The sequence below is a fragment of the Homo sapiens genome, chromosome 19, assembly GCF_000001405.40.
Source record: "Homo sapiens chromosome 19, GRCh38.p14 Primary Assembly".
Taxonomy (NCBI): domain Eukaryota; kingdom Metazoa; phylum Chordata; class Mammalia; order Primates; family Hominidae; genus Homo; species Homo sapiens.
The window spans coordinates 40,416,010-40,439,543 of record NC_000019.10 but is presented as its reverse complement, the minus strand read 5'-3'; the positions used below and the strand labels follow the sequence as shown (position 1 = coordinate 40,439,543).

Here is a 23,534-nt window from a genome sequence, read left to right as displayed (position 1 = left end):
TGGAGAAAGGATGGGGATTTTGCTTGTGGTTTCTGGGTCAAAGCCAGATTTCTCAACCTGAAGGGGTCATTGTCAGAAAGTGGAGGGATAACCTGAAGAGGTGGGTGCCAATCCAGAGAGAGGAATGAGGTGGCCCAGAGGATCTAAAGAAAGCAACCAGGTACAGGCCAGGCGCGGTGGCTCAGGCCTGTAATTCCAGTACTTAGGGAGGCCAAGGCGGGAGGATTGCCTGAAGTGAGGAGTTTGAGACCAGCCTGGCCAACATGGCGAAGCCCTGTCTCTACTAAAAATACAAAAAATTAGCTGGGCATGGTGGCAAACACCTGTGGTCCCAGCTACTCAGGAGGCTGAGGCAGGAGAATCACTTGAATCCAGGAGGCACAGGTTGCAGTGAGCTGAGATCATACCACTGCACTCCAGCCTGAGTGACAGAGCGAGATTCCATCTCAAAAAAAAAAAAAAAAAAGCAACCAGGTGTGATACTTGCTGTGGAATTGTAAAAAATAAAAATAAAAGGTAAGCAACCAGGTCTGCATCCCAATATGATGGCAATTGAATCATGTCTTCCTCCTTGAAACCTTCAGTGCCTTTTTTTTTTTTTTTTTCTTTTGAGACAGGGTCTCTGGCTCTGTCGCCCAGGCTGGAGTGCAGTGGTACAATCACAGCTTACTGCAACCTCCACCTCATGGACTCAAGCAATTCTCCCACCTCAGCCTCAGCCTCCCAAGTAGCTGGGACTACAGGCACGTGGACCACACCTGACTAATTTTTGTATTTTTTGTAGAGATGGGGTTGTGCCATGTAGCCCAGGCTGGTCTTGAACTCCTGGAATCAAGCGATCCTCACATCTCAGCCTCCCAAAGTGCTGGGATTACAGGCATGAGCCACCACGCCCAGCCTCCAGTGACTTCTTGACACACTCAATAAAGCGCCAGCTCCACCAAGACCTGCAAGGACTGACTTATTCTCACTTCGGACAACTTTCTCAGTTCCATCTCCCACTCTCTCCATCACTCAACTGGGCTCCCTTGACCCCAGCTCCTTCTCACCCCAGGGCCTTTGCCCTAACTGTTAAATTTTCCCAGTGGACATTTTCCCCAATAGCTTCACCAATCCCAATATCCCCTTCTCAGGGAGGTCTTCCTTGCCCTTCCTAGCTCAACACATCCAGGTGGGTCACCACCCCACCACAACTTGTTTGATTTTCTTTCTTTCTTTTTTTTTGAGATGGAGTCTTGCTCTGTCTCCTAGAATGGAGTGTAGTGGCATGATCTTGGCTCACTGCAGCCTCTACCTCCCAGTTCCAGCAATTCTTCTACCTTAGCCTTCCGAGTAGCTGGGATTACAGGCACATGCCACCACACCTGGCTAATTTTTTTTTTTTTTTTTTGACACGGAGTTTTACTCTTGTTGCCCAGGCTGGAGTGCAATGACGCGATCTTGGCTCACCACAACCTCCGCCTCCTGGGTTCAAGTGATTCTCCTGCCTCAGCCTCTCGAACAGCTGGGATTACAGGCATGCGCCACCACACCCAGCTGATTTTGTATTTTCAGTAGAGACAACGTTTCTCCATATTGGTCAGGCTGGTCTTGAACTCCTGACCTCAGGTGATCCGCCCGCCTCGGCCTCCCAAAGTGCTGGGATTACAGGCATGAGCCACTGCACCTGGACTGATTTTGTTTTAGTAGCATCTACCCAATCTCGAGTTACTTATTTCCCATCTATAGGTAGCCTCCTACTCTCCTGGGAACTCTGAGGGTTGTGTTGGTCTGTGCCTAGAACTATGCTTGGCACAACTGCACTCTCCAAAATTATTTGTTGTTGAAGGGTCAGGCACGGTAGCTCACGCCTATAATCCCAGCACTTTGGGAGGCCAAGGCGGTCGGATCACCTGAGGCTAGGAGTTCGAAACCAGCCTGACCACCATGGAAAAACCCTGTCTCTACTAAAAATACAAAATTAGCCAGGCGTAGTGGCACATGGCTATAATCCCAGCTACTCAGGAGGCTGAGGCAGGAGAATCACTTGAACCCAGGAGGCGGAGGTTGTGGTGAGCTGAGATCGTGCCATTGCACTCCAGCCTGGGCAACAAGAGCGAAACTCCATCTCAAAAAAAAAAAAAATTATTTGTTGTTGAAAAACTTGGCCAGGTGCAGTGGTTCACGCCTGTAATCCCAGCATTTTGGGAGGCTGAGGCAGGAAGATCGCTTGTGTCCAGTTCAAGACCAGCCTGGGCAACACAGGGAGACCCCATCTCTACAAAAAACTAAAATAAAATTAGCTGGGCTGATGGCATGCCCTTGTAGTCCCACCTACTCAGGAGGCTGAGGTGGGAGGATCGCTCGAGCTCAGGAAATGGAGGCTGTGAGCAGAGATAACACCACTGCACTCCAGCACTCCATCTGGAACAGAGCAACAGAGGGAGGTCCTGTCTCAAAAAAAAAAAAAAAAAAAAAAAAAGGCCGGGTGCGGTGGCTCACACCTGTAATTCCAGCACTTTGGGAGGCCGAGGCGGGCAGATCACGAGGTCAGGAGATTGAGACCATCCTGGCTAACACGGTGAAACCCCGTCTCTACTAAAAATACAAAAAAATTAGCCGGGCGAGGTGGCGGGCACCTGTAGTCCCAGCTACTCGGGAGGCTGAGGCAGGAGAATGGCGTGAACCTGGGAGGCGGAGCTTGCAGTGAGCCGAGATTGCACCACTGCACTCCAGCCTGGGTGACAGAGCAAGACTCCGTCTCAAAAAAAAAAAAAAAAAAATGAACTCCAGACCTAGCAATGACTAACTTTCCCTCCCACCTTTCTGAACTCATCTCCCCTACACACCCTCACTCTTATACTCCCACCACACCATTCCCTGCTGTTCCTCATATACACCATATTCCAAACTGAAGGATCTGGAGTAATACCTGCCTCACACTGCAAAGTGTCAGGGAGCCTGAGGCAGGCCAAGGATTCCAATAATGGCTCAGATTTATTGAGTGCCTGCTGTGGACCTGGCACTCTTCAGCAGGAAAATAAATAAAATAGACAATTCCTGCTCTCATGAAATTTAACAGTGGGGGAAGAGTGAAATACACATGAAAAATAATGCCAGGCATGGCAGCACGTGACTATGAGCCCAGTAACTCAGGAGGCTGAGGCAGGAGGATTATTGGAGGCCAAGAATTCAAGACCACTTTGGGCAACATAGCAAGACCACATCTCTAAAACAATTTTAAAAAAAAATTAGCTGGGCACGCTAGTCCCAGCTATTCAGAAGACTCGGGTGGGAGGATCCCTTCTTCAGCCCAGGAGTTGGAGGTTACAGTGAGCTGTGATCACAGCACTGCACTCCAGCCTAAGCGACAGAGTGAGACTCCCACTCCAAATAGATAGATAGATAGATAGATAGATAGATAGATAGATAGATAGTTAGTTAGATAGGGCCGGGCGCTGTGGCTCACACCTGCAATCCCAGCACTTTGGGAGGCCAAGGCGAGTGGACCACCTGAGGTCAGGAGTTCAAGAGCAGACTGGCCAACACAGTGAAACCCCCTCTCTACCAAAAATACAAAAAAATTAGCTGGGCATGGTGGCCGGCGCCTGTAATCCCAGCTACTCCAGAGGCTGAGGCAGGAGAATCGCTTGAACCTGAGAGGTGAAGGTTGCAGTGAACTGAGATCAGGCCACTGCACTCCAGCCTGGGCAACCAGAGTAAAATTATGTCTCAAAAATAATTAAGTAAATAAAAAGAAAAATAAGGCCGGGTGTGGGGGCTCACGCCTGTAATCCCAACACTTTGGGAGGCCAAGGTGGGTGGATAATTTGAGGTCAGGAGTTCGAGACCAGCCTGGCCAACATGGTAAAACCCCATCTCTACTAAAAATACAAAAATTAGCTGGGTATTGTGATGCACACTTGTAGTCCCAGCTACTCAGGAGGCTGAGGCAGGAGAATCACTTGAACCCGGGAGGCGGAGGTTGCAGTGAGCCGAGATCACACCACTGCACTCCAGCCTGGGTGACAGAGCAAGACTCTGTCTCAAAAAAAAAAAAAAAAAAAGAAGTGAAAATGTGTAAGTCAGCCAGGTGGTGATAAATGCTGTGGGGGCAGGGGGGAGCAGAGGAGTGAGGAGGGTGTTGCAATTTACATAGGATGGCCAGATAGGGCGTCTGAGACAAGGTGACATTTGGGTAAAAACCTGAAGAAGGGCCAGGCACGTTGGCTCACCCCTGTAATCCCAGCACTTTGGGAGGCCAAGGCAGTCAGATTGCTTGAGCCCAGGAGCTTGAGACCAGCCTGGGGTAACATGGCAAGGCCCTGAGGTCCTGTCTCTACTCAAAAAAAAAACCAAAAAAACAAAAAAAACAAAAAAACTGGGTGTGGTGGTGCTCACCTGTAGTCCCAGCTACTAGTGAGGCTGAGGTAGAAGGATCGCTTGAGCCCATAATGGGCAGAGGTTGCAGTGAGAGGAAATCCCACTGCTGCACTCCAGCCTGGGCTACAGAGCAAGACCCTGTTTCAAAAACAAAAACAGGTAGGGCGCCCTGGCTCACTCCTACAATCCCAGCACTTTGGGAGGCTGAGGCAGGCGGATTACTTGAGGTCAGGAATTCAATACCAGCCTCGCCAACATAGTGAAACCCCATTTCTACTAAAAATACAAAAATTATCTGGGCAAGGTGGCAGCTGCCTGTAATCCCAGCTACTCCGGAGGCTGAGGCAGGATAATTGCTTGAACCGGAGAGGTGGAGATTGCAGTGAGCTGAGATGGGGCCACTGCACTCCAGCCTGGGCGACAAGAGCGAAACTCCGTCTCAAAAACAAACAGGCCAGGCGCGGTGGATCATGCCTGTAATCCCAGCACTTTGGGAGGCCGAGGCAGGCGGATCACGAGGTTAGGAGTTCGAGACCAGCCTGGCCAACATGGTGAAACCCCGTCTCTACTGAAAATTAGCCGGGTGTGGTGGCGGGCGCCTGTAATCCCAGCTACTCGGGAGGCTGAGGCAGGAGAATTGCTTGAACCCGGGAGGCGAAGGTTGCAGTGAGCCGAGATGGCGCCACTGCACTCCAGCCTGGGCGACAGAGCAAGACTTCGTCTGGAAACAAACAAACAAACTTTTTGTTTAAAAAGTGAGCCACCGTGCCCCGCCCTCCCCCTTTCCCTGCAGCTCTCTGCCTGCCCTGAAGATAACCCTGGGAAGGGGAATCGCACAGTTCCTTAGCACCGCGATGAGGCCAGTAAGAGGAGCACCCTCTTTCCAGATGAAAAAACTGAGGCTCCGAGAGGCCCAGCGCCTTCCTTAACACCGCACTTGTTAAAAAGAACTGGCCACAGAAGTGGAAAGGCTGGCCCTGCAGAAGGAACCGAGTCCCCGAGGGCAGTGTCCACGTTCCCCAACCTGCCCTCCTCCGCGGCGGGGGATGGGCCCGCGGCCCGCCCTGGGCGTGGCGGGAAGGCCCAGTCCCTCCCCGCTGCCCACCCTCCGCCCTGGGCCGGCCGGGGTACCCGGGAGGCGGCCGCGGCCGGGAGCCGGCCTGGCGCCTCCTCCCTCCCCAGAGGCCGGACGGGGCGGGCCGCGCCTCCCGACCCCCCTCCCTGCCTCCCTCCCCAGCAGGCGGAGGCTTCTCTCCAGGCCTGCCGGGCCCGGTGGCTTCGCCGATGGTTTCATTTCCCCAGGCCCGGCCTCTCCTCTTCTCCCTTCCCCCAGCCTTTGAATTCCTGGCTCCGTCTCCATTTTCTGGCCCCAGCTCCAATGTCAACGCCTCGAAGAATCTCTCTCTAGGACCACCCTGGTTACAGGCGATTATCCCGTCTTATTTTGTTTTCTTCAAGTCACTGAACGGAAACGGAAATTATTTTTCTCATCGATTCATCTTCCAGGGTCTTCTCATCCCGCTCGGAGTAAAAAACAAAGGTCCACAGAGTAGGCTAAAAGGCCTCACTTCTCGGACCTCCTTCCCGGCAGCTCCCAGTCCAGCTGCCCTGGCCTTGTCTCCTGACAGGCAGCACTTCAGAGCCTTTGCACTGGCTCTCGCCTCTGCCTGGAATGCTCTTCCTCTAGTTTTCCTACCTCTCTCATTTGTTTTGGTTTGTTTGTTTTTTGAGACAGAGTCGTTCTCTGTCGCCCAGGCTGGAGTACAGTGGGGCGATCATAGCTCACTGCAGCTTCAAACTCCAGGTTCAAGTGATTCTCCTACCTCAGCCTTCCAAGTACCTGGAACTACAGGCACGCCCGGCTAATTTTTTTGTTTGTTTTTGTTTTTGTTTTTTGAGATGGCAGTGGCACCGTCTCGGCTCACCGCAACCTCCGTCTCCCGGGTTCAAGCAATTCTCCTGTCTCAGCCTCCCGAGTAGCTGGGACTACAGGCGCCTGCCATCACGCCGGGCTACTTTCAAAACAAAACAAAACAAAAAAACCACACAAATTATCTAGTACCTTAGGAGCAGGTAATTGCAAAGGAAAAGAAAAAAGCAGACCGGGTGCAGTGGCTCATGCCTGTGATCCCAACACTTTGAGAGGCCCAGGCGGGTGGATCACTTGAGGTCAGGAGTTCGAGACTAGTCTGGCCAACATGATGAAACCCTCGTCTCTATTAAAAAAAAAAAAAATTAGCCGGGCATGGTGGCAGGCGCCTGTAATCCCAGCTACTCGGGAGGCTGAGGTAGGAGAATTGCTTGAATTCAGGAGATTGGAGGTTGCAGTGAGCTGAGAGATGTGCAGCTTTGGGGAGGAGGATGTGTTATGTCTGAAGAGGTGACAATTCAGCAGAGACCTGATGAAACAAAAGAAGTAGACCCGGCGGCCAGGTGGCTCACTCCTGTAATCCCAGCACTTTGGGAATCGGAGGCATGAGGATCACTCGAGCCCAGGAGTTCAAGACCAGCTTGGGCAACATGGGGATACTCTGCTTCTACAAATAAAAAATTAAAAAAAAACTGGCCAGACGTGGTGGCTCATGCCTGTAATCCCAGCACTTTGGGAGGCCGAGGCGGGCGGATCACCTGAGGTCAGGAGTTCGAGACCAGCCTGATCAACATGGCGAAACCCCATCTCTACTAAAAATGCAAATTAAATTGATTTAATTTGCTGTCTTTTTTTCAATTTTTGTTGTTGTTGTTGTTTAGATTGTTTTCTTTTCTTTTTTCGGACAGAGTCTTGCTCTGTCACCCAGGCTGGAGCGCAGTGGCACGATCTCGGCTCACTGCAATCTCTGCCTCCCGGGTTCAAACAATTCTCTTGCCTCAACCTCCCAAGTAGCTGGGAGTACAGGTACTTGCCACCACACCCGGCTAACTTTTGTATCTTTAGTAGAGATGGGGTTTCACCATGTTGGTCAGGCTGGTCTCGAACTTCTGACCTCAAGTGATCGGCCTGCCTCGACCTCCCAAAGTGCTGGGATTACAGGCGTGAGCCACGGCGCCCGGCCAAGGTAATTTGTTTATTGTTCATCTGCTCCCATAAGAGATTTTCATCTATAATTTCACTGCCCTTTCTTCAGTGCCTATAACAGTGTCTGGCACACAAAAGGGGCTCAAGACATAAATGTTTGCAAATCAATGAATGCATTCGTTTTCATATATATTTTCTCTCTTCACCTCCTACCCTGTTCCATGAGAGGGGAGACTCTGTGAAATTTACCCAGTGCTGTATCCTCACCATCTACAACAGTGGCCACCACATAGTAGGTGCTTAATAAATATATATTAATCAGATGATTCCTCTGAGCTCTTGTTCTTGTTTTTTGTTTTTTGTTTTTTGTTTTTTTTTTTTTTACAGAGTCTTGCTCTGTCGCCCAGGATGGAGTACAGCGCAGCAGCAGCCTGATCCTGGCTCACTGCAACCTCTGTCTCCCAGGTTCAAGCGATCCTCCCACCTCAGCCTCTGAAGCAGCTGAAACTACAAGCATGAAGGAAAATTTCCTTTTCCTTCAGTGTATGACCTGGAGTAAGCCACTGGGAGACTCCAGGTCCAGGCGTCCCTTTTGCCAGCCATAAAAATGGATTCTGGAGGGCAGAAAATGTGAATTTGCCTAGTGGGGGCCTGGTTCTAATTAGCATCTTACCTTAATTTTATTATTAAAAATTCAAGCACATAGAAAAGATGGGGAAAAAAAGTATTCTGAGCATCTGAATACTATCTCACCTAGATTTATTTGATAGTTGTTGGACAGGGAACAACTATAATCCCAGTACTTTGTGAGGCCAAGGCAAGAGGGTCACTTGAGTCCAGGAGTTCAAGATCAGCCTGGGCAACATGGTAAGATCTCATCACTACAAAAAAATTTAAGAGCCAGGCGTGGACCGGGCATGGTGGCTTATGCCTGTAATCCCAGCACTTTGGGAGGCCGAGGCAGGCGGATCACCTGAGGTCAGAAGTTCAAGACCAGCCTGACCAACAGGGAGAAACCCCGTCTCTACTAAAAATACAAAATTGGTCAGGCGTGGTGGTGCATGCCTGTAATCGCAGCTACTCGGGAGGCTGAGGCAGGACAATTTCTTGAACCCAGGAGACAGAGGCTGTGGTGAGCCAAAACTGTGCCATTGCACTCCAGCCTGGGCAACAAGAGCGAAACTCCGTCTCAAAAAAAAAAAAAAAAATACTCGTCCCATAAACTGGCAATGAGACTTAACCTTCTTCAAGTAGCTCATTTGTTAATTCCTGAGCTGTGGGAAGAGCTTTTAGTTTTGAATAAAGCTCCTGGCCAAAGTAAGTTCTCAAAAATGCTAACTATGGTAGTTAATTCAGGCAGCAATTGTCAATGAATGCTCAAACAGTTGGGTGAAAAGTTAGTGGAAAACAGGATCTTTTGGGGTCTCACTCTTTCACCCAGGCTGGCGTGCACTAGTGCAATCATGGCTCACTGCAGCCTCAAACTCCTGGGCTCAAGTGATCCACCTCAACCTCCCAAGAAGCTGGGACTGCAGGTGCATGCCACCATGCTAGGATAAGTTTTTAAAAACAGTATTCTGTAGATAGTGCCACTGCACTCTAGCCTGGCGACAGAGCGAGACTCCGTCTCAAAAACAAACAAAACATAAACAAAAACCAGTATTTTGTGGAGATTGGGTCTTGCTGTGTTGCCCAGGCTAGTCTCAAACTCCTGGGCTCTGGCCAGGCACAGTGGCTCATGCCTGTAATCCCAGCACTTTGGGAGGGCGAGGTGGGTGGAGTTCGATACCAGCCTGACCAACATGTTGAAACCCCGTCTCTACTGAAAATACAAAAATTAGCCAGGCATGGTGGTGCACGCCTATAATCCCAGCTACCCAGGAGGCTGAGGCAGGAGAATAGTTCAACGCGGGAGGCGGAGGTTGCAGTGAGCTGAGATTGTGCTACTGCACTCCAGCCTGGGTGACAGAGACTCCATCCCCCCCCCCAAAAAAAAAAAGCCAGATGTGGTGGCTCACGCCTGTAATCCCAGCACTTTGGGAGGCCAAGGTGGCTCATGCCTGTAATCCCAGCACTTTGGGAGGCCAAAGTGGGCAGATCACCTGAGGTCAGGAGTTTGAGGCCAGCCTGGCTAACATGGTGAAACCCTGTCTCTACTAAACATACAAAAATTAGCCAGGCATAGTGGCATGCACCTGTATCCTAGCTACTCAGGAGGCTGAGGCAGGAGAATCCTTGAACCCGGGAGGCGGAAGTTGAAGTGAGCCAAGACCACGCCATTACACACCAGCCTGGGCGACAGAGCAAGACTCCATCTCAAAAAAAAAAAAAAAAAAAAAAAAAACTGGCCAAGTGCGGTGGCTCACGCCTGTAATCCCAGCACTTTGGGAGGCAAAGGCGGGCGGATCACGAGGTCAGGAGATTGAGACCATCCTGGCTAACATGGTGAAACCCCGTCTCTACTAAAAATACAAAAAAAAAAAAAAGGAAAAAAAATTAGCCGGGCGAGGTGGCGGGCACCTGTAGTCCCAGCTATTCAGGAGGCTGAGGCAGGAGAATGGCATGAACCCAGGAGGCGGAGCTTGCAGTGAGCCGAGATCGTGCCACTGCACTCCAGCCTGGGCGACAAAGTGAGACTCCGTCTCAAAAAAAAAAAAAAAAAAATCACAAAACCTCCTGGGCTTAAGTTCCCGCCTTGGCCTCCCAAAGTGCCAGCATTACAGGCATGAGCCACCACATACATCTTGGAGATAGGATCTTCACAGGCTCTAAAGCATCATCCCAAAGGTTATTTGCTAACTAGAAAGGATAAATTTATTTTACGATGTAACCCTCACAATCTTAATCACGTGATGAAACTCTGCATTACCAATGGTGGGACATCCTGACACTGGTGCCAACTACTATAATGCGTTAGGATTAGGAAGTACATTAATAAGGATTAGGACACACCCTGTGGAGTCTCCCTGTTCACTGCATAAGCAGAATCTCACCAGGCCCCTAGACCCAACCTCCAGCTTATTGGAAAAAGAGAGGAACAAATTAAACACAGTCAGACAAATCCAGAATGTGGGACACTATGCAGCATGACTAGTCTGTTTTGCCAGAAATTCAATGTCAACAAAACATCAAAAAGGATTTGAGGCTGAGTGTGGTGGCTCATGCCTGTAATCCCAGCACTTTGGGAGGCCAAAGCGGGTGGATCACCTGAGGTCAGGAGTTTGAGACCAGCCTGGCCAACATGGCGAAACCCTGTCTCTACTAAAAACACAAGAAAATTAGCCAGGCGTGGTGGCGCACGCCAATAATCCCAGCTACTCGGGAGGCTGAGGCAGGAGAATCACTTTAACCCGGAAATGGAGGTTGCAGTGAGCCAAGATCATGCCACTGCACTCCAGCCTGGGCGACAGAGCAAGACTCTGTCTCAAAAAAAAAAAAAAAAAAAAAAGGGATTTGGGTGGGGGAATATTCGAGAATAAAATATAGTATGTAATTTCTTCATTACAACCAAATTAGCATGTGAACCTTCATTGGATCCTGATTTTGGAGAAAAGAAAGCAACTATAAAGGATATTCTTGGGTCAGTTGGAGAGATTTGATTAGGTGATATTGTGGAATTCTTGATTCTATTAGATGTGAAATAGTATTTTTGTGGCTTGTACATGAATGTCCTTATTCTTTTTTTTTTTTAGGTGGAGTTTGCTCTTGTTGCCCAGGCTGGAGTGCAATGACGCAATCTCAGCTCACTGCAACCTCCACCTCCTGGGTTCAAGCAATTCTCCTGTCTCAGCCTCCTGAGTAGCTGGGATTACAGGCACATGCCACCATGCCCGGCTAATTTTTGTATTATTAGTAGAGACGGGGTTTCATCATATTGGTTAGCCTGGTCTCGAACTCCTGACCTCCGGTGATCCACTCGCCTTAGCCTCCCAAAGTGCTGGGATTACAGGTGTGAGCCAACGCACAGGGCCTAATGTCCTTATTCTTAAGAGATGCCTCCTGAGCTGTTAAGGGTAGAATATCAAGATGCTTGCAATTACTCTCCAAAGGTTTAGCAAAAGAAACAATATATACACATATGTAGATAAAGGGAACTTAGCACAATGTTACCAACTACTACTTTTTTCTTTTTTTTTTTTTTTGATACAGGGTCTTGTTCTGTTACTCAGACTAGAGTGCAGCGGCATGAACATGGCTCACTGCAGCCTTGACCTCCTGGGCTCAAGGAATCCTCCCACCTTAGCCCCACAAGCAGCTGGGACCACAAGAACATGCTACCACGCCTGGCTAATCCTTTTTTTTTTTTTTTTTTGAGACAGAGTCTTGCTCTGTTGCCCAGTCTGGAGTGCAGTGGCGCTGTCTTGGATCACTGCAACCTCTGCCTCCTGGGTTCAAGCTATTCTCCTGCCTCAGCCTCCTGAGTAGCTGGGATTACAGGCGCCTGCCACCACACCTGGCTGATTTTTTGTATTTTTAGTAGAGACAGGGTTTTACCATGTTGGCCAGGCTGGTCTCGAACTCCTGACCTCGTGATCTGCCCACCTCGGCCTCCCAAAATGCTGAGATTACAGGCGTGAGCCACCACGCCCGGCCCACGCCTGGCTAATTCTTAAATTTTTTTGTAGTGATGAGATCTCACTGTGTTGCCCAGGCTGGACTCAAGTGAACTCCTGGACTCAAGTGACCCTCCTGCCTTGGCCTCCCAAAGTACTGGATTACAGTTGTTGCCTAGCTAACAACTATCAATTAAATCTAGGTGAGAGAGTATTCAGGCGTGAGCCACTGCATCCGGCCATGGGAGGAGTATTATACCCTGTCTACCTCTAGCCCCATCCTGCATGTCTATCCACCTTGAACTAAGAGCTTGTCTTATTACAACAGCTATTACTACTAACAAAGAAACAACGTTGCTAACCAGGCATGGTGGTGTGCGCCTGTAGTCCCAGCTGCTTGGGGGTCTGAGGCAGGAGGATGGCTTGAACCTGGGAGGCTGCAGTGAGCCGAGATGGCACCCCTGCACTTCAGCCTGGGTGACAGAGCGAGACCCTGTCTCAAAAGCAAAATAAAATAAAATAAAAAGTAAAGAAAAAAATAATAAGCAGCTGGGCGCGGTAGCTCACGCCTGTAATCCCAACACTCAGGGGCCGAGGAGGGCGGATCACCTGAGGTGAGGAGTTTGAGACCTGCCTGGCTAACATGGTGAAACCCCATCTCTACTAAAAATACAAAAATTAACCGGGCGTGGTGGCGCACGCCTGTAGTCCCAGCTACTCGGGAGGCTGAGGCAGGATAATTGCTTGAACCTGGGAGGCGGAGGTTACAGTGAACCGAGATCGTGCCCCTGCACTCCAGCCTGGGCGACGGAGTGAGAATCTGTCTCAAATAAATAAATAAATAAATAAATAAAATGAAAAAAAAAAAAAAAACACAAAACATGTTGCACCCCACTCTGAAGATTTTTCATGAATTAATTTAATCCTTAAAAACAATCCTGTAAACTAGGCGCTATTTTCTCTCATTTTAAAGGAGAAACAGACCAGAAGGGATTAAAACACTTGCCGCAGGTCACACAGCTGCTTAGGGAATGGAGCCCGGGATGTGATTCCGTTGGTATCGCACTCCCACCTCACTCCCGCCTTTAACCACAATTAAGTCCAACTGTCCAGCATTGCTTGAGTGTGGTATTGTGTTCTTATAGATACGATCCTACTTAAAGTATCCTGTCAAGAGGTAGGCAAGACGATCCCCATTTAACTTTGTGTAGCTTGAAGAGGTTGATCATTTTTCCAAGGTCACGCATCCAGTGAGTGGGGAATCCGGAGTCGGAATTTGAACCCGGGCATTATCTGTAGTGTAGACCCCTGTCGGGGCTGGATGTGTAAGAAGCTTAATTGCCGGGTTTGGCAGGTGCATGGGTAGTTGTGAGGGGCTCGTATTTTGAGAGGCAAAAGCCCCCACTCGCCACCGTTCCCCGGAGTAAAAAGCCACCTCTTTCCACCCCTCACTCGCGCAGCTGCCCGGGCATGCGCCCTGAAGCCCCTCCTTCAGAATCCGCCCCCTACAAGCTCCGCCCATCACCATGCAGGGCCAATCCCTGGGGCGGAGGGCGGGGCAGCCACGAGAGTGGGCGGTCGCTAAGGGTAGTTAGGAGTCTGGAGTCGTGAGCCGGAGTCAGAACTGCGTCTCGCGACCCAGGCGCGGGTTTCCGGAGGACAGCCAACAAGCGATGCTGCCGCCGCCGTTTCCTGATTGGTTGTGGGTGGCTACCTCTTCGTTCTGATTGGCCGCTAGTGAGCAAGGTATGTAAATGAAGGGGCCTGGGAACAGAAGGGCTACCAGCGGCCGGGTCCTTCACAGAGTTCGATCCCTGGGTCCGACAGGTGCCCGCCGGGGCTGCCCGGGATCGAGACGCACGGACCTCTACGTGCTGTCTGCCCCGGCCGGGCCGGGTGAATCACGCCGCAGTCCGAGAAGGGGGCGGAGGCGCCGGCTTCTTGGCTCCGGCTGCGTGACTCACCCGCCCCCGCCGCCGCCGCTTCGGGAGGAGCCGCCTCCACTGCCGGAAGCGAGCGGAGGCCGGGCGCAGAGAACAGCCCGCCAGGGGTCCCGGCTCGCACGGCGCCGGGAGGCCGGCAGGAATCACAGCCGGGAATCGGGGCAGTAGAAGGGGTCCTGGGGTCAGAGGGGCCAGAATCCCCGGGGGAAAGCCGGCCTGGGCACCGCTAGGGGGCGCCGGGACCCGGGGGCGGAGTCGGGGGTGGGGGCGGAATTCCTGCGGTTCCGGACTCCCCGGACTGCGGGGAAGGGGACGAAGACCCTGTTTTGAGTAGTGTGGTGGGCCATTCTTAAAATCTTGCTAGGCAGGGTTCCGAAACTGGACTCTACAGTCTTCCTGGCCCAAAAAAGTAGGTAGCGCCAGGAGTCCAAAACTCCAGCCCTACCCCCGCCACTCCAAGAACAGTGGACCCTCAAACTTATCTCAGTGACTGAACCCGGTGCCGATCACGATTTCCCGACAAGCCCTGTCTATTCTGCCTCCCAAATAAGTCCTGACTCGACCGACTTCCTTCCATGCCACTACCAGCTCCTACTCCAGGCCATCACCATCGTCCGTCCCAAACGAGTACAGCCTACCAGTGGGTCTCAGATCCCCCCTCTTTTTGCCCCCCACAGTCTTCCTCGAAGCAGCCATGGGGGGGATCTTCCGGAAACCTAATCAGCTCACAGCACCATTCCCTCCCTGCTCAAATTCCTTTAATGACTGCCCACCACACTCAGGATAAAATCCAAACTCCCTACTTCTGCATATGTGGCTTTCTGTGACCTGGCTTGTGCCCGTTCCCCTAGCTGCTCCCCAATCTGGTCTCCTACCATGTCACTCTCTGTGTGCCACCCATGCTGGTCTCTTTCCAGTTCAAGCCCATCCAGCCTCTGGGCTTTTCTCTGCCTTTTTTTGTTGTTCCCTCCTCCCGGAATGCTTTTCCCAGGGTCTCCCATGGCTGACTTCTCTGGCCTGAGGGCTCCATTCAAATGTCACCTCCTTACAGGAGCCTTCTCTGATGATCTAAAAGGTCTCTAGGAACTTTTAGTGTCTTCCTGTAATTCTCTGTACATTTCCTGTGTTTCCTTATTTATTTACTGTTTGAAACATAGTCATAGTAGACAATAAATATTAAACTACGTGAAACTAGTTTAGTATTTATAATATTATAACTTATTTAGATATAATTATGTTATTATAATAAAATATGTGAAACAGCTGCTTTTGTAGGGGAAAAAGTTGAATATTGGCCATTCCACATGGTTCACTGAAGAAATAATAATGTTATCATTAAGTGTACTTATTGGCAGGGTGAGGCAGCTCACACTTGTAATCTCAGTACTTTGGGAGGCTGAGGAAGGAGGATGGCTTGAGGCAAGGAGTTTGAGACCACCCTGGGCAACATAGTGAGACCATGTCTCTACAAAAAAATAAAAGGGAAAAAAAAAAGTACTTATTGACTGAGGGGGGAGGATCGCTTCAGGCCAGGAGTTTGAGACCAGCCTGGGCAATATAGTGAGACCCCATCTTTATTTTTTCAGATAAAAAAGTCTATAAATATACTTAAATATAAAATTTAAAATTTAAGAAGTCTATAGGCCAGGCGCGGTGGCTCACGCATGTAATCCCAGCACTTTGTGAGGCAGAGGTGGGCGGATCACTTGAGGTCCAGGAGGTCGAGACCAGCCTGGCCAACATGGTGAAACCATGCTTCTTCTAAAAATATAAAAATTAGCCGGGTGTGGTGGCATGTGCCTGTAATCCTAGCTTTTGGGGAGGCTGAGGCACGAGAATCATTTGAACCTGTGAGGCAGAGGTTGCAATGAGCTGAGATCACGGCATTACACTCCAGCCTGGGCAACAGAGCGAGACTCCATCTCAAAAAAAATCTATAAATATACATATACAGTTAAATAAAAATTGTCTATATCTTTAAAGTTCCCTAAGAAAAGCTAGGCACAGAGAGGTTAAGTGACTTCCCCAAGATCCTACCTGCAGCAACTGTCAGATCCAGGCTTTGAACTTAACATTTGTTTTCTATAACTGACTATAACTCCATAACTCCCTGCCCTCTGCAGATGCTGAGCAAGGGTCTGAAGCGGAAACGGGAGGAGGAGGAGGAGAAGGAACCTCTGGCAGTCGACTCCTGGTGGCTAGATCCTGGCCACACAGCGGTGGCACAGGCACCCCCGGCCGTGGCCTCTAGCTCCCTCTTTGACCTCTCAGTGCTCAAGCTCCACCACAGCCTGCAGCAGAGTGAGCCGGACCTGCGGCACCTGGTGCTGGTCGTGAACACTCTGCGGCGCATCCAGGCGTCCATGGCACCCGCGGCTGCCCTGCCACCTGTGCCTAGCCCACCTGCAGCCCCCAGTGTGGCTGACAACTTACTGGCAAGCTCGGACGCTGCCCTTTCAGCCTCCATGGCCAGCCTCCTGGAGGACCTCAGCCACATTGAGGGCCTGAGTCAGGCTCCCCAACCCTTGGCAGACGAGGGGCCACCAGGCCGTAGCATCGGGGGAGCAGCGCCCAGCCTGGGTGCCTTGGACCTGCTGGGCCCAGCCACTGGCTGTCTACTGGACGATGGGCTTGAGGGCCTGTTTGAGGATATTGACACCTCTATGTATGACAATGAACTTTGGGCACCAGCCTCTGAGGGCCTCAAACCAGGCCCTGAGGATGGGCCGGGCAAGGAGGAAGCTCCGGAGCTGGACGAGGCCGAATTGGACTACCTCATGGATGTGCTGGTGGGCACACAGGCACTGGAGCGACCGCCGGGGCCAGGGCGCTGAGCCCTCGTGCTGGAATGGTTGTCTGGTATCTGAACTGAGCCTGCTGGCTGGACCAACTGTCCTCGAAAAGACACAGCTGGCTTCCCTAGTACAGAGAACAGGGCTTGGGCCACTTTGGAGAGACAGAATCTAGTCCTGGGCAACTTCACATCCGTCCTCCTGTCTCAGGGCTGGCAGGGGGAGCCTGGAATTACCCCCTAGTGATGGAATGACAGGGTCTGGTGGGGACTGAATTCCCTGGCCCTGGGGTCATAGCTTGGGCTGTTCCTTCTCTGATACGGGAAGAGACCCCAATCAGATTTTTCAAATTAAAGCCAGTCCTGGGAAATCTCAAATCCGTGTGCTGCTTTGTCTCTGGGCAAATGTGAAGGCGAGATAAAAACATCAAACATTTTATTGGGCGTAGGCTGTGTACGAGGCACAGTTTCTAAGCACGTCACTGTGTTAACTCATTTAATCCTATAACAGCCCTACAAGATCGGTAGTATTATCATCCCTATTTTACAGGTGAGAAAACCAAGGTTCCAAGATTATCACTTGAGGTGGGTTTTAAATTATGAACTTTTTTTTTTTTTTTTTTGAGATAGGGTCTCGCTCTGTCACCCAGGTTGAAGTACAGTGGTCTGATCATGGCTCACTACAGCCTCAAACTCCTGGGCTCAAGCGATCCTCCTACCAGGCCACTTTTTTTTTTTCTTTCTTTTTTTTTTAAGACAGATTCTTACTCTGTCGCCCAGGCTGGAGTGCAGTGGCGTGACTTCGGCTCACTGCAACCTCCACCTCCCAGGTTCAAACGATTCTCCTGCCTCGGCCTCCCAATTAGCTGGGACCGACTAATTTTTTATATTTTTTGTAGAGACAGGGTTTCACCGTGTTAGCCAGGATGGTCTTCATCTTCTGACCTCGTGATCTGCCTGCCTCAGCCTCCCAAAGTGCTGGGATTACAGGCGTGAGCCACTGTGCCTGGCCTTTTTTTTTTTTTCTTAAATTTTATTTCTTTTCTTTGCTAGCAGGAAGTCAAGGCAACTTTTTAAAAATGAAAGCAAGTCCTCGCCTGGAGTCTACCTGTATTTATTGAGGAGCGAAGGGGAGATTGCTTTCAGAATGGTCCCGAAATAAAAACACAAAACCTGGACCCTGGACAGATCCTCTCCAAGGAGCCCTGAGAGTCGGCTCTCCAGGAAAATGGGGGAGGAAAGGGGGACAACAGCCCATTTTTAAAAATAAAATTCACTCCTGGTCTTAAATCTCTGGGCAAAGGATAGGGACGCTTGGAGCTGTGTCTGAAATAAAGCCACTAGGCTTGGTAGCTGGACTGCAGAGAGGGAGCTCAGGGCAGGCAGCTGTGCCTTCCTTCTAGAAGAAACCCAGACCCGGACGAGCTGGGGCCACCTGCCCGTGTGCTGGGCCTGGCTGGAGCGCCGGGTGTCAGCGGCCGCCCCCGCGGTCCAGCCGCATTCCAGGCCTGGCTGGGAGGGGCCGCACACTCAGCGGCCTGGCACGGGACCCAGGCTGCGTCCTTCCTGACGGCCGCAGGGACAGGGCGGAGCCTGAGGGGGGGTGCACGGAGGGGAGGGAGTGTCACCGTGAAAACTGCGGGTGCGCATGGAGAGAGGCGCAGGGGGCTGGACGGTGACCCGAGGGGCCAGCGGGGCCTTGAGTGAGGGAAACGCCGCCATCGTGGGGTCCCAGAGCCTCGCTTCTGGCCAGAAGCCTCGGGGAGGCAGAGGCAGGAGTGGAGCTGGGCCAGATGGGGAGCCTGGGTCGGCCCCAGGGGCCGGGAAGGGGCGGGCAGAGTGGCGCTTCCTGGAGGAGCAGAGGAAGTTGTGCCCATTTCTGGAAGTGGATGAGGCGGGCCGCGGAAGCGGGTGAAAATGGCCTGCGGGGAGCTGTCGTCCAGGCTGAGGGTCTTCCAGGCGCCTGACTCCAACCCCGAGTGACTCCAGCCCCGGGCAAATGGGACTCGGACTGCTTTGCCGCAGACTCAAAACTTGGGCGCCTGGGCTGAGCTCAGCACCGCCCCCTGGTGCCCAGTCGGGCTCTGCGGTGCCGCCGTCTTGGGTTCCCCGGACATCTGTCCAGTGGTCGAGGGATCATGAACGCCCTCTGTTTACAACACTCTGCGGGCCTGTTTCTTTCTTTTCTTTTTCTTTTTTTTTTTTTTTTAGAGACGGGGTCTCGCTTTGTCGCCCAGGCTGGAGAGTGCAGTGGCGCGATCATAGCTCACTATAGCCTCGAATTCCTGGGCTTCAGCAATCCTCCCGCGTCAGCCTCCCAATTAGCTGGGGTTACAGGTGCACGCCACCACGCCCAACTGATTTTATTTTTATTCTTATTTTTATTTATTTATTTATTTATTATTTTTTGAGATGGATTCTCGCTCTGTCGCCCAGGCTGGAGTGCAATGGTGCAATCTCGGCTCACTGCAGCCCCTGCCTCCTGGGTTCAAGCAATTCTGCCTCAGCCTCCCGAGTAGCTGGGATTACAGGCGCCTGCCACCATGCCCGGCTAATTTTTTGTATTTTTAGTAGAGACAGAGTTTCACCATGTTCGCCAGGCTAGTCTTGAACTCCTGATATCAAGTGATCCGCCCTGCCTCAGCCTCCCAAAGTGCTGGGATTACAGGCGTGAGCCACCATGCCCGGCCGATTTTTTAAATTTTTTGTAGAGACAGTGTTGCCCTATGTTGTCCAGGCTGGTCTCGAACCCCCAGGCTCAAGCAATCCTTCCACCTCAGCCTCCCAAAGTGCTGGGATTCCCGTGGGCCTGTTTCTTATTCTTTCCTTTCCCCGCTTTTTCAAAGAGATTGGGTCTCACTGTGTTGTCCAGGCTGGAGAGCACTGTCTGTACAGAGGAGTGATCATAGTGCTGTACAGCCTTGAACTCCTAGGCTCAAAGGATCCTCTGGCTTCAGCCCTCAGAGTGGCTGGGACTATAGGCACAAACCACTGTGCCCAGCTAAGGACCTGTTTCTGATGTCTCCGAGGCCCAATATGGGGTGAGCTGATCCTTCCGTCTGCCCCTGTGCCTGCTTTGCCACTGATGGCCCCTCTCCCCAGAGCCTCTAGGTACAGTTGCATAGGTTGTGCACTGCATATAGGCTCCGTATGTAAGGGGCTGCCACTGGTGTTCCAGGTACCCTGCATTTACATATTTATTACAAGTTTCCCAGCAGATGGAGGTCAAGTACCTCCAGGAAGGGGCATGTCTTTTACACAAAAGCACCATATGGGCTACATCAGCCCTGGTCCCGTCTGCCCGGTGCCCTCAGGTTTATGAATGGCTCATGTGTGAGGACCTGCCCCTCTCTCCCCATGTGTCACCCCCAGATGGGTTGTGCAGGCTCCCTGGCTCTGGTGTGCTGCTCCACCCTCAGGCTCAACCCCAGGAGGCCACACCACCTTGGCCAGCAGACTCCAGGGCCCACACCATTCCTAGCTGAGCCGCCAGCCCTGGCACAACTGCCACCTTTCACAGAGCCTCTGTGTATGCTCGCCATGACGCCCCCTAGGCCAGCTTTCCTCCATGGCATTCACAGACCACCCCCAAAACACACACACACACACACACACACACACACACTCTCTCTCTCTCTCTCACACCTGGAAGAGCTGTGACCAGCTATCTTGTCTCTTTTTCCTCCCTCCCTTCTTCCTGTCCTTCATTCAGCAAAAATTTATGAGCACACACCTACTGTGTGCCTATCCCTATGTAAAGGGTAAATCTGACCACATCTCTCCCCTGCCCCTGGGCCCTTATTACCCCACTTCTCTGGGGTCTGAATTCTGTACTTTCCAAGGCTCACCTTCTACCTCTGTCCCTATTCATTAGACACTTATTGAGTGGCCGGGCATGGTGGTTCACGCCTGTAATCCCAGCATTTTGGGAGGCCGAGGCAGGTGGATCACAAGGTCAAGAGATTGAGACCATCCTGGCCAACATGGTGAAACCCCATTTCTACTAAAAATACAAAAATTATCTGGGCAAGGTGGCGGGCCTGTAATCCCAGCTACTCAGGAGGCTGAGGCAGGAGAATCACTTGAACCCGGGAGGCGGAGGTTGCAGTGAGCCGAGATTGTGCTGCTGCACTCCAGCCTGGCGACAGAGCGAGACTCCATCTCAAAAAAACCAAACCAAACAAAATTAAAAAACACTTATTGAGCACCTATGGTATGCAGTCCCGGCACACTTTAGAAATCTAACAGAGATATTATTGAAGCAGTAAGCTGGAGAGAAGAGACTGTTCCTGAAAGCCAGACTGCCTGGGTTTGAACCCCAGCTTTGGCCAGATGCGACGGCTCACGCCTGTAGTCCCAGCTACTCAGGAGGTTGAGGTGAGAAGATCACTTGAGGCCAGGAGTTTGAGGCTGCAATGAGCCATGATTGCACCACTGCACTCCAGCCTGGGTGACAGAACAAGACCCTGTCAGAAAGAAAGAAGGAAGGACGGAAGGAAGGAAGGCAGGAGGGAAGGAAGGAGGGAGGGAAGGAAGGGAGAGAGAGGAAGGAAGGAAGAAAGAAAGGAAAGAGAGAGAAGAAAAAAGGAAGGAAGGGAAAGAAAGAAAGGAAGAAAGAAAAGAAAGAAAGGAAGAAAGAAAGAAAAGAAAGGAAGAAAGAAAAGAAAAGAAAAGAAAAGAAAAGAAAAAAGAGTTACCGCTCTGTGGCTGTGTGACTCTAGGCAAGGTACTTAACTTCTCTGAGCCTCGGGGTCCTCACCTGTAAACTGGAACAGTAACAGTATCTGCCCCAAAGAACTATTGTTCTGGTGGGCAAGGAAACAGCAAGGGTCACTGAGAGAGAGACCCTACAACATTTTCAGGGATCTCTAAGCTGCTGGGTTTGGCTGGAAGGAGGAGGAAAGCAGTAAGGTAAATGACAAGACTGGAAGGGTCCGCAGGGGCCAGGGCATATAGGACCCTGGATGGGGGACTTAACTCTGAAGATGCTGGGGAGTCATGAAGTAAAAGGATCCCTTCACTAGGTGGGTGGCATCGTCGGGGAGGTGACACTGGAGGCCAGGAGCCCAGGATCCCAGGGGTGGAGAATCTGGGGAGGGACGGAGCAGCTGTTGGGAGGGAAGAGGCACTCAGGAGGCCCAGCAGACAGGCTGTGGGACTGACAAGGCCTGGAGGAGGGGTCTCAGACCAGGCTCAGGGCTCTAATCAGGGGACTGGGAGACACTGGGGCCATCCCTGAGATGGCAACTGGGGAGAGAAGCAAGTCTGGGGTTGGGGCTGAGGCCAAGGAGGGACCCAGGGGGTGCAAGAGGCTGGGGAGACACCCAGGGGAAGGCATGGAGCTGCCCGGGCCCTGGGCCGGGAGCTCAGGAGAGAGGACTGGGGTGTGGGGGTGGGCGTGAACGGTGGGATCGAGGGAGACACCAGTGTCCCTTGGCTGGACTGGGTGGGGCGGAGTGGCTAGGCCACGCAGGGCAGGCCAAGGCTCCTGCTTGGCTCAGACTGAGTCTGGAGAGGGTGGTCCCTGAGAAGAAGCGTCCACCTCCTTCCCTAGCCTCACAGGATGTCCTGTGTTTACTGCGGTGGCCACAGCCGGAACCAGGACACTGGGGCCACCCCCAACTTAGCTTCCCGTGGCCACACCCCCTTGGGTGAGGGAAAGCATGACAGAGAGAGAGGGAGAGAGAAACGCACAGACAGAATGAGACAGAAAGAAACTAGGAAAGAGAGACAAAGAATAAGGACAGAGAGAAACAGAAGAACAGAGAGACACAAAGATAGAGACACACAGAGAGACACACCATTCGTGATAAGAATTCACAACAGTCCAGGTGTGGTGACTCATGCCTGTAACCGCAACAGTTTGAGAGGCCAAGGCGGGTGGATTACCTGAGGTCAGGAGTTCAAGACCAGCCTGGCCAACATGGCGAAACCCCCATCTCTGCTAAAAATACAAAATTATTGCTTCTTGGCCTTTTGGCTAAGATCAAGTGTAAAATACAAAAATTAGCTGGGTGTGGTGGTAGGCGCCTGTAATCCCAGCTACTCGGGAGGCTGAGGCAGGAGAATCTCTTGAACCCAGGGGGCGAAGGTTGCAGTGAGCCGAGATTGTGCCACTTTGCTCCAGCCTGGGTGAAAGAGCGAAAACTCTGCCTAAAAAAAAAAAAACAAAAGAAAAATTAAAAAAAAGAAAGAAAATAACTCACAGCAGGCCAGGCACAGTGGCTCATGCCTGTAATGTCAGCACTTTGGGAGGCCAAGGCAGGAGGATCGCTTGAGGCCAGGAGTTTGAGGCCAGCCTGGGCAACATAGTGAGACCCGCATCTCTCAAAAACAAGAAAACAAAAAACTCACAGCAAACTAGGGAAAGAAGCTTCCTTAACCTGATAAAGCGTATCTACAAAACATGGACCGCTAACTTCCTACTTTATGGCAAAAGGTTAAATGCTTTCCCCTAAGACTGAGAACAAGCAAAGATCTCTGCTCTCTGCGACAAGGGAAGAGAGGGGATGTTGTGTACCAGCCTCCCTTTTCTGTTTGACCCTGAGCAGAGAGAGGGGGATTTTCTTCCCTATGCTAGCCTGGCTGATAGCTCAGCCTCTTTCTGCCTTCAGGTACCTAAAAGCTCAGTGCTATTCATACTTTGTCCCTCTGATAGCTCTTCAGGGCCCACAGGACAAAGTCTGAGGCCCTCCTCATGGCCCTGCTGACCCCTGGACCTCCTCTTACCTTTCCCTCACACTCTCACCTTAACCGTTTTCTCAAAGGGCCTTTGCACAGGGTGTTCCCGCTACCTGAAACACACTGTCATTCCTTCACCACCCATGGCTTTGGGTTAACTTCTATATATCCTCCAGGTGCAAGCTCAA

General features: G+C 51.4%; 1 protein-coding gene across 1 annotated transcript, besides 10 other annotated features; it reads left to right on the top strand.

The window, feature by feature from the left end:
• Positions 3,978-4,242: a transcriptional cis regulatory region, noted in NCBI's record as "candidate enhancer chr19.4185 targeted for multiplex CRISPR interference". NCBI's record gives its function as "positively regulates DLL3 gene expression in K562 cells {active_cell/tissue: K562}" and the evidence as "EXISTENCE:mutant phenotype evidence [ECO:0000015][PMID:30612741]".
• Positions 5,321-5,610: a silencer, noted in NCBI's record as "silent region_10625". NCBI's record gives its function as "represses an Ori minimal core promoter by ATAC-STARR-seq in GM12878 lymphoblastoid cells {active_cell/tissue: GM12878}" and the evidence as "EXISTENCE:reporter gene assay evidence [ECO:0000049][PMID:35858748]".
• Positions 5,321-6,304: a biological region, named in NCBI's record as "H3K27ac-H3K4me1 hESC enhancer GRCh37_chr19:40939147-40939975".
• Positions 5,476-6,304: an enhancer, noted in NCBI's record as "H3K27ac-H3K4me1 hESC enhancer chr19:40939147-40939975 (GRCh37/hg19 assembly coordinates)". NCBI's record gives its function as "activates a minimal SCP1, AML or CMV promoter by ChIP-STARR-seq in primed H9 embryonic stem cells {active_cell/tissue: H9 hESC(primed)}" and the evidence as "EXISTENCE:reporter gene assay evidence [ECO:0000049][PMID:30033119]".
• Positions 5,721-5,800: an enhancer, noted in NCBI's record as "active region_14654". NCBI's record gives its function as "activates an Ori minimal core promoter by ATAC-STARR-seq in GM12878 lymphoblastoid cells {active_cell/tissue: GM12878}" and the evidence as "EXISTENCE:reporter gene assay evidence [ECO:0000049][PMID:35858748]".
• SERTAD1 (SERTA domain containing 1) lies at positions 13,552-17,955 on the top strand. The gene is made up of 2 exons (NM_013376.4): positions 13,552-13,677; positions 15,998-17,955. Exon 2 carries the CDS (start codon positions 15,998-16,000, stop codon positions 16,706-16,708), a length of 711 nt encoding a protein of 236 aa, NP_037508.2. The 5' UTR covers positions 13,552-13,677; the 3' UTR covers positions 16,709-17,955.
• Positions 14,095-14,184: a silencer, noted in NCBI's record as "silent region_10624". NCBI's record gives its function as "represses an Ori minimal core promoter by ATAC-STARR-seq in GM12878 lymphoblastoid cells {active_cell/tissue: GM12878}" and the evidence as "EXISTENCE:reporter gene assay evidence [ECO:0000049][PMID:35858748]".
• Positions 14,227-15,029: an enhancer, noted in NCBI's record as "H3K27ac hESC enhancer chr19:40930422-40931224 (GRCh37/hg19 assembly coordinates)". NCBI's record gives its function as "activates a minimal SCP1, AML or CMV promoter by ChIP-STARR-seq in naive H9 embryonic stem cells {active_cell/tissue: H9 hESC(naive)}" and the evidence as "EXISTENCE:reporter gene assay evidence [ECO:0000049][PMID:30033119]".
• Positions 18,186-18,275: a silencer, noted in NCBI's record as "silent region_10623". NCBI's record gives its function as "represses an Ori minimal core promoter by ATAC-STARR-seq in GM12878 lymphoblastoid cells {active_cell/tissue: GM12878}" and the evidence as "EXISTENCE:reporter gene assay evidence [ECO:0000049][PMID:35858748]".
• Positions 18,351-18,851: an enhancer, noted in NCBI's record as "H3K27ac hESC enhancer chr19:40926600-40927100 (GRCh37/hg19 assembly coordinates)". NCBI's record gives its function as "activates a minimal SCP1, AML or CMV promoter by ChIP-STARR-seq in primed H9 embryonic stem cells {active_cell/tissue: H9 hESC(primed)}" and the evidence as "EXISTENCE:reporter gene assay evidence [ECO:0000049][PMID:30033119]".
• Positions 18,566-18,685: an enhancer, noted in NCBI's record as "active region_14653". NCBI's record gives its function as "activates an Ori minimal core promoter by ATAC-STARR-seq in GM12878 lymphoblastoid cells {active_cell/tissue: GM12878}" and the evidence as "EXISTENCE:reporter gene assay evidence [ECO:0000049][PMID:35858748]".

Coding starts and splice junctions, on each gene's coding strand:
- SERTAD1 (NM_013376.4), top strand. CDS start 15,998: ATGCTGAGCAAGGGTCTGAAGCGGAAACGGGAGGAGGAGGAGGAGAAG.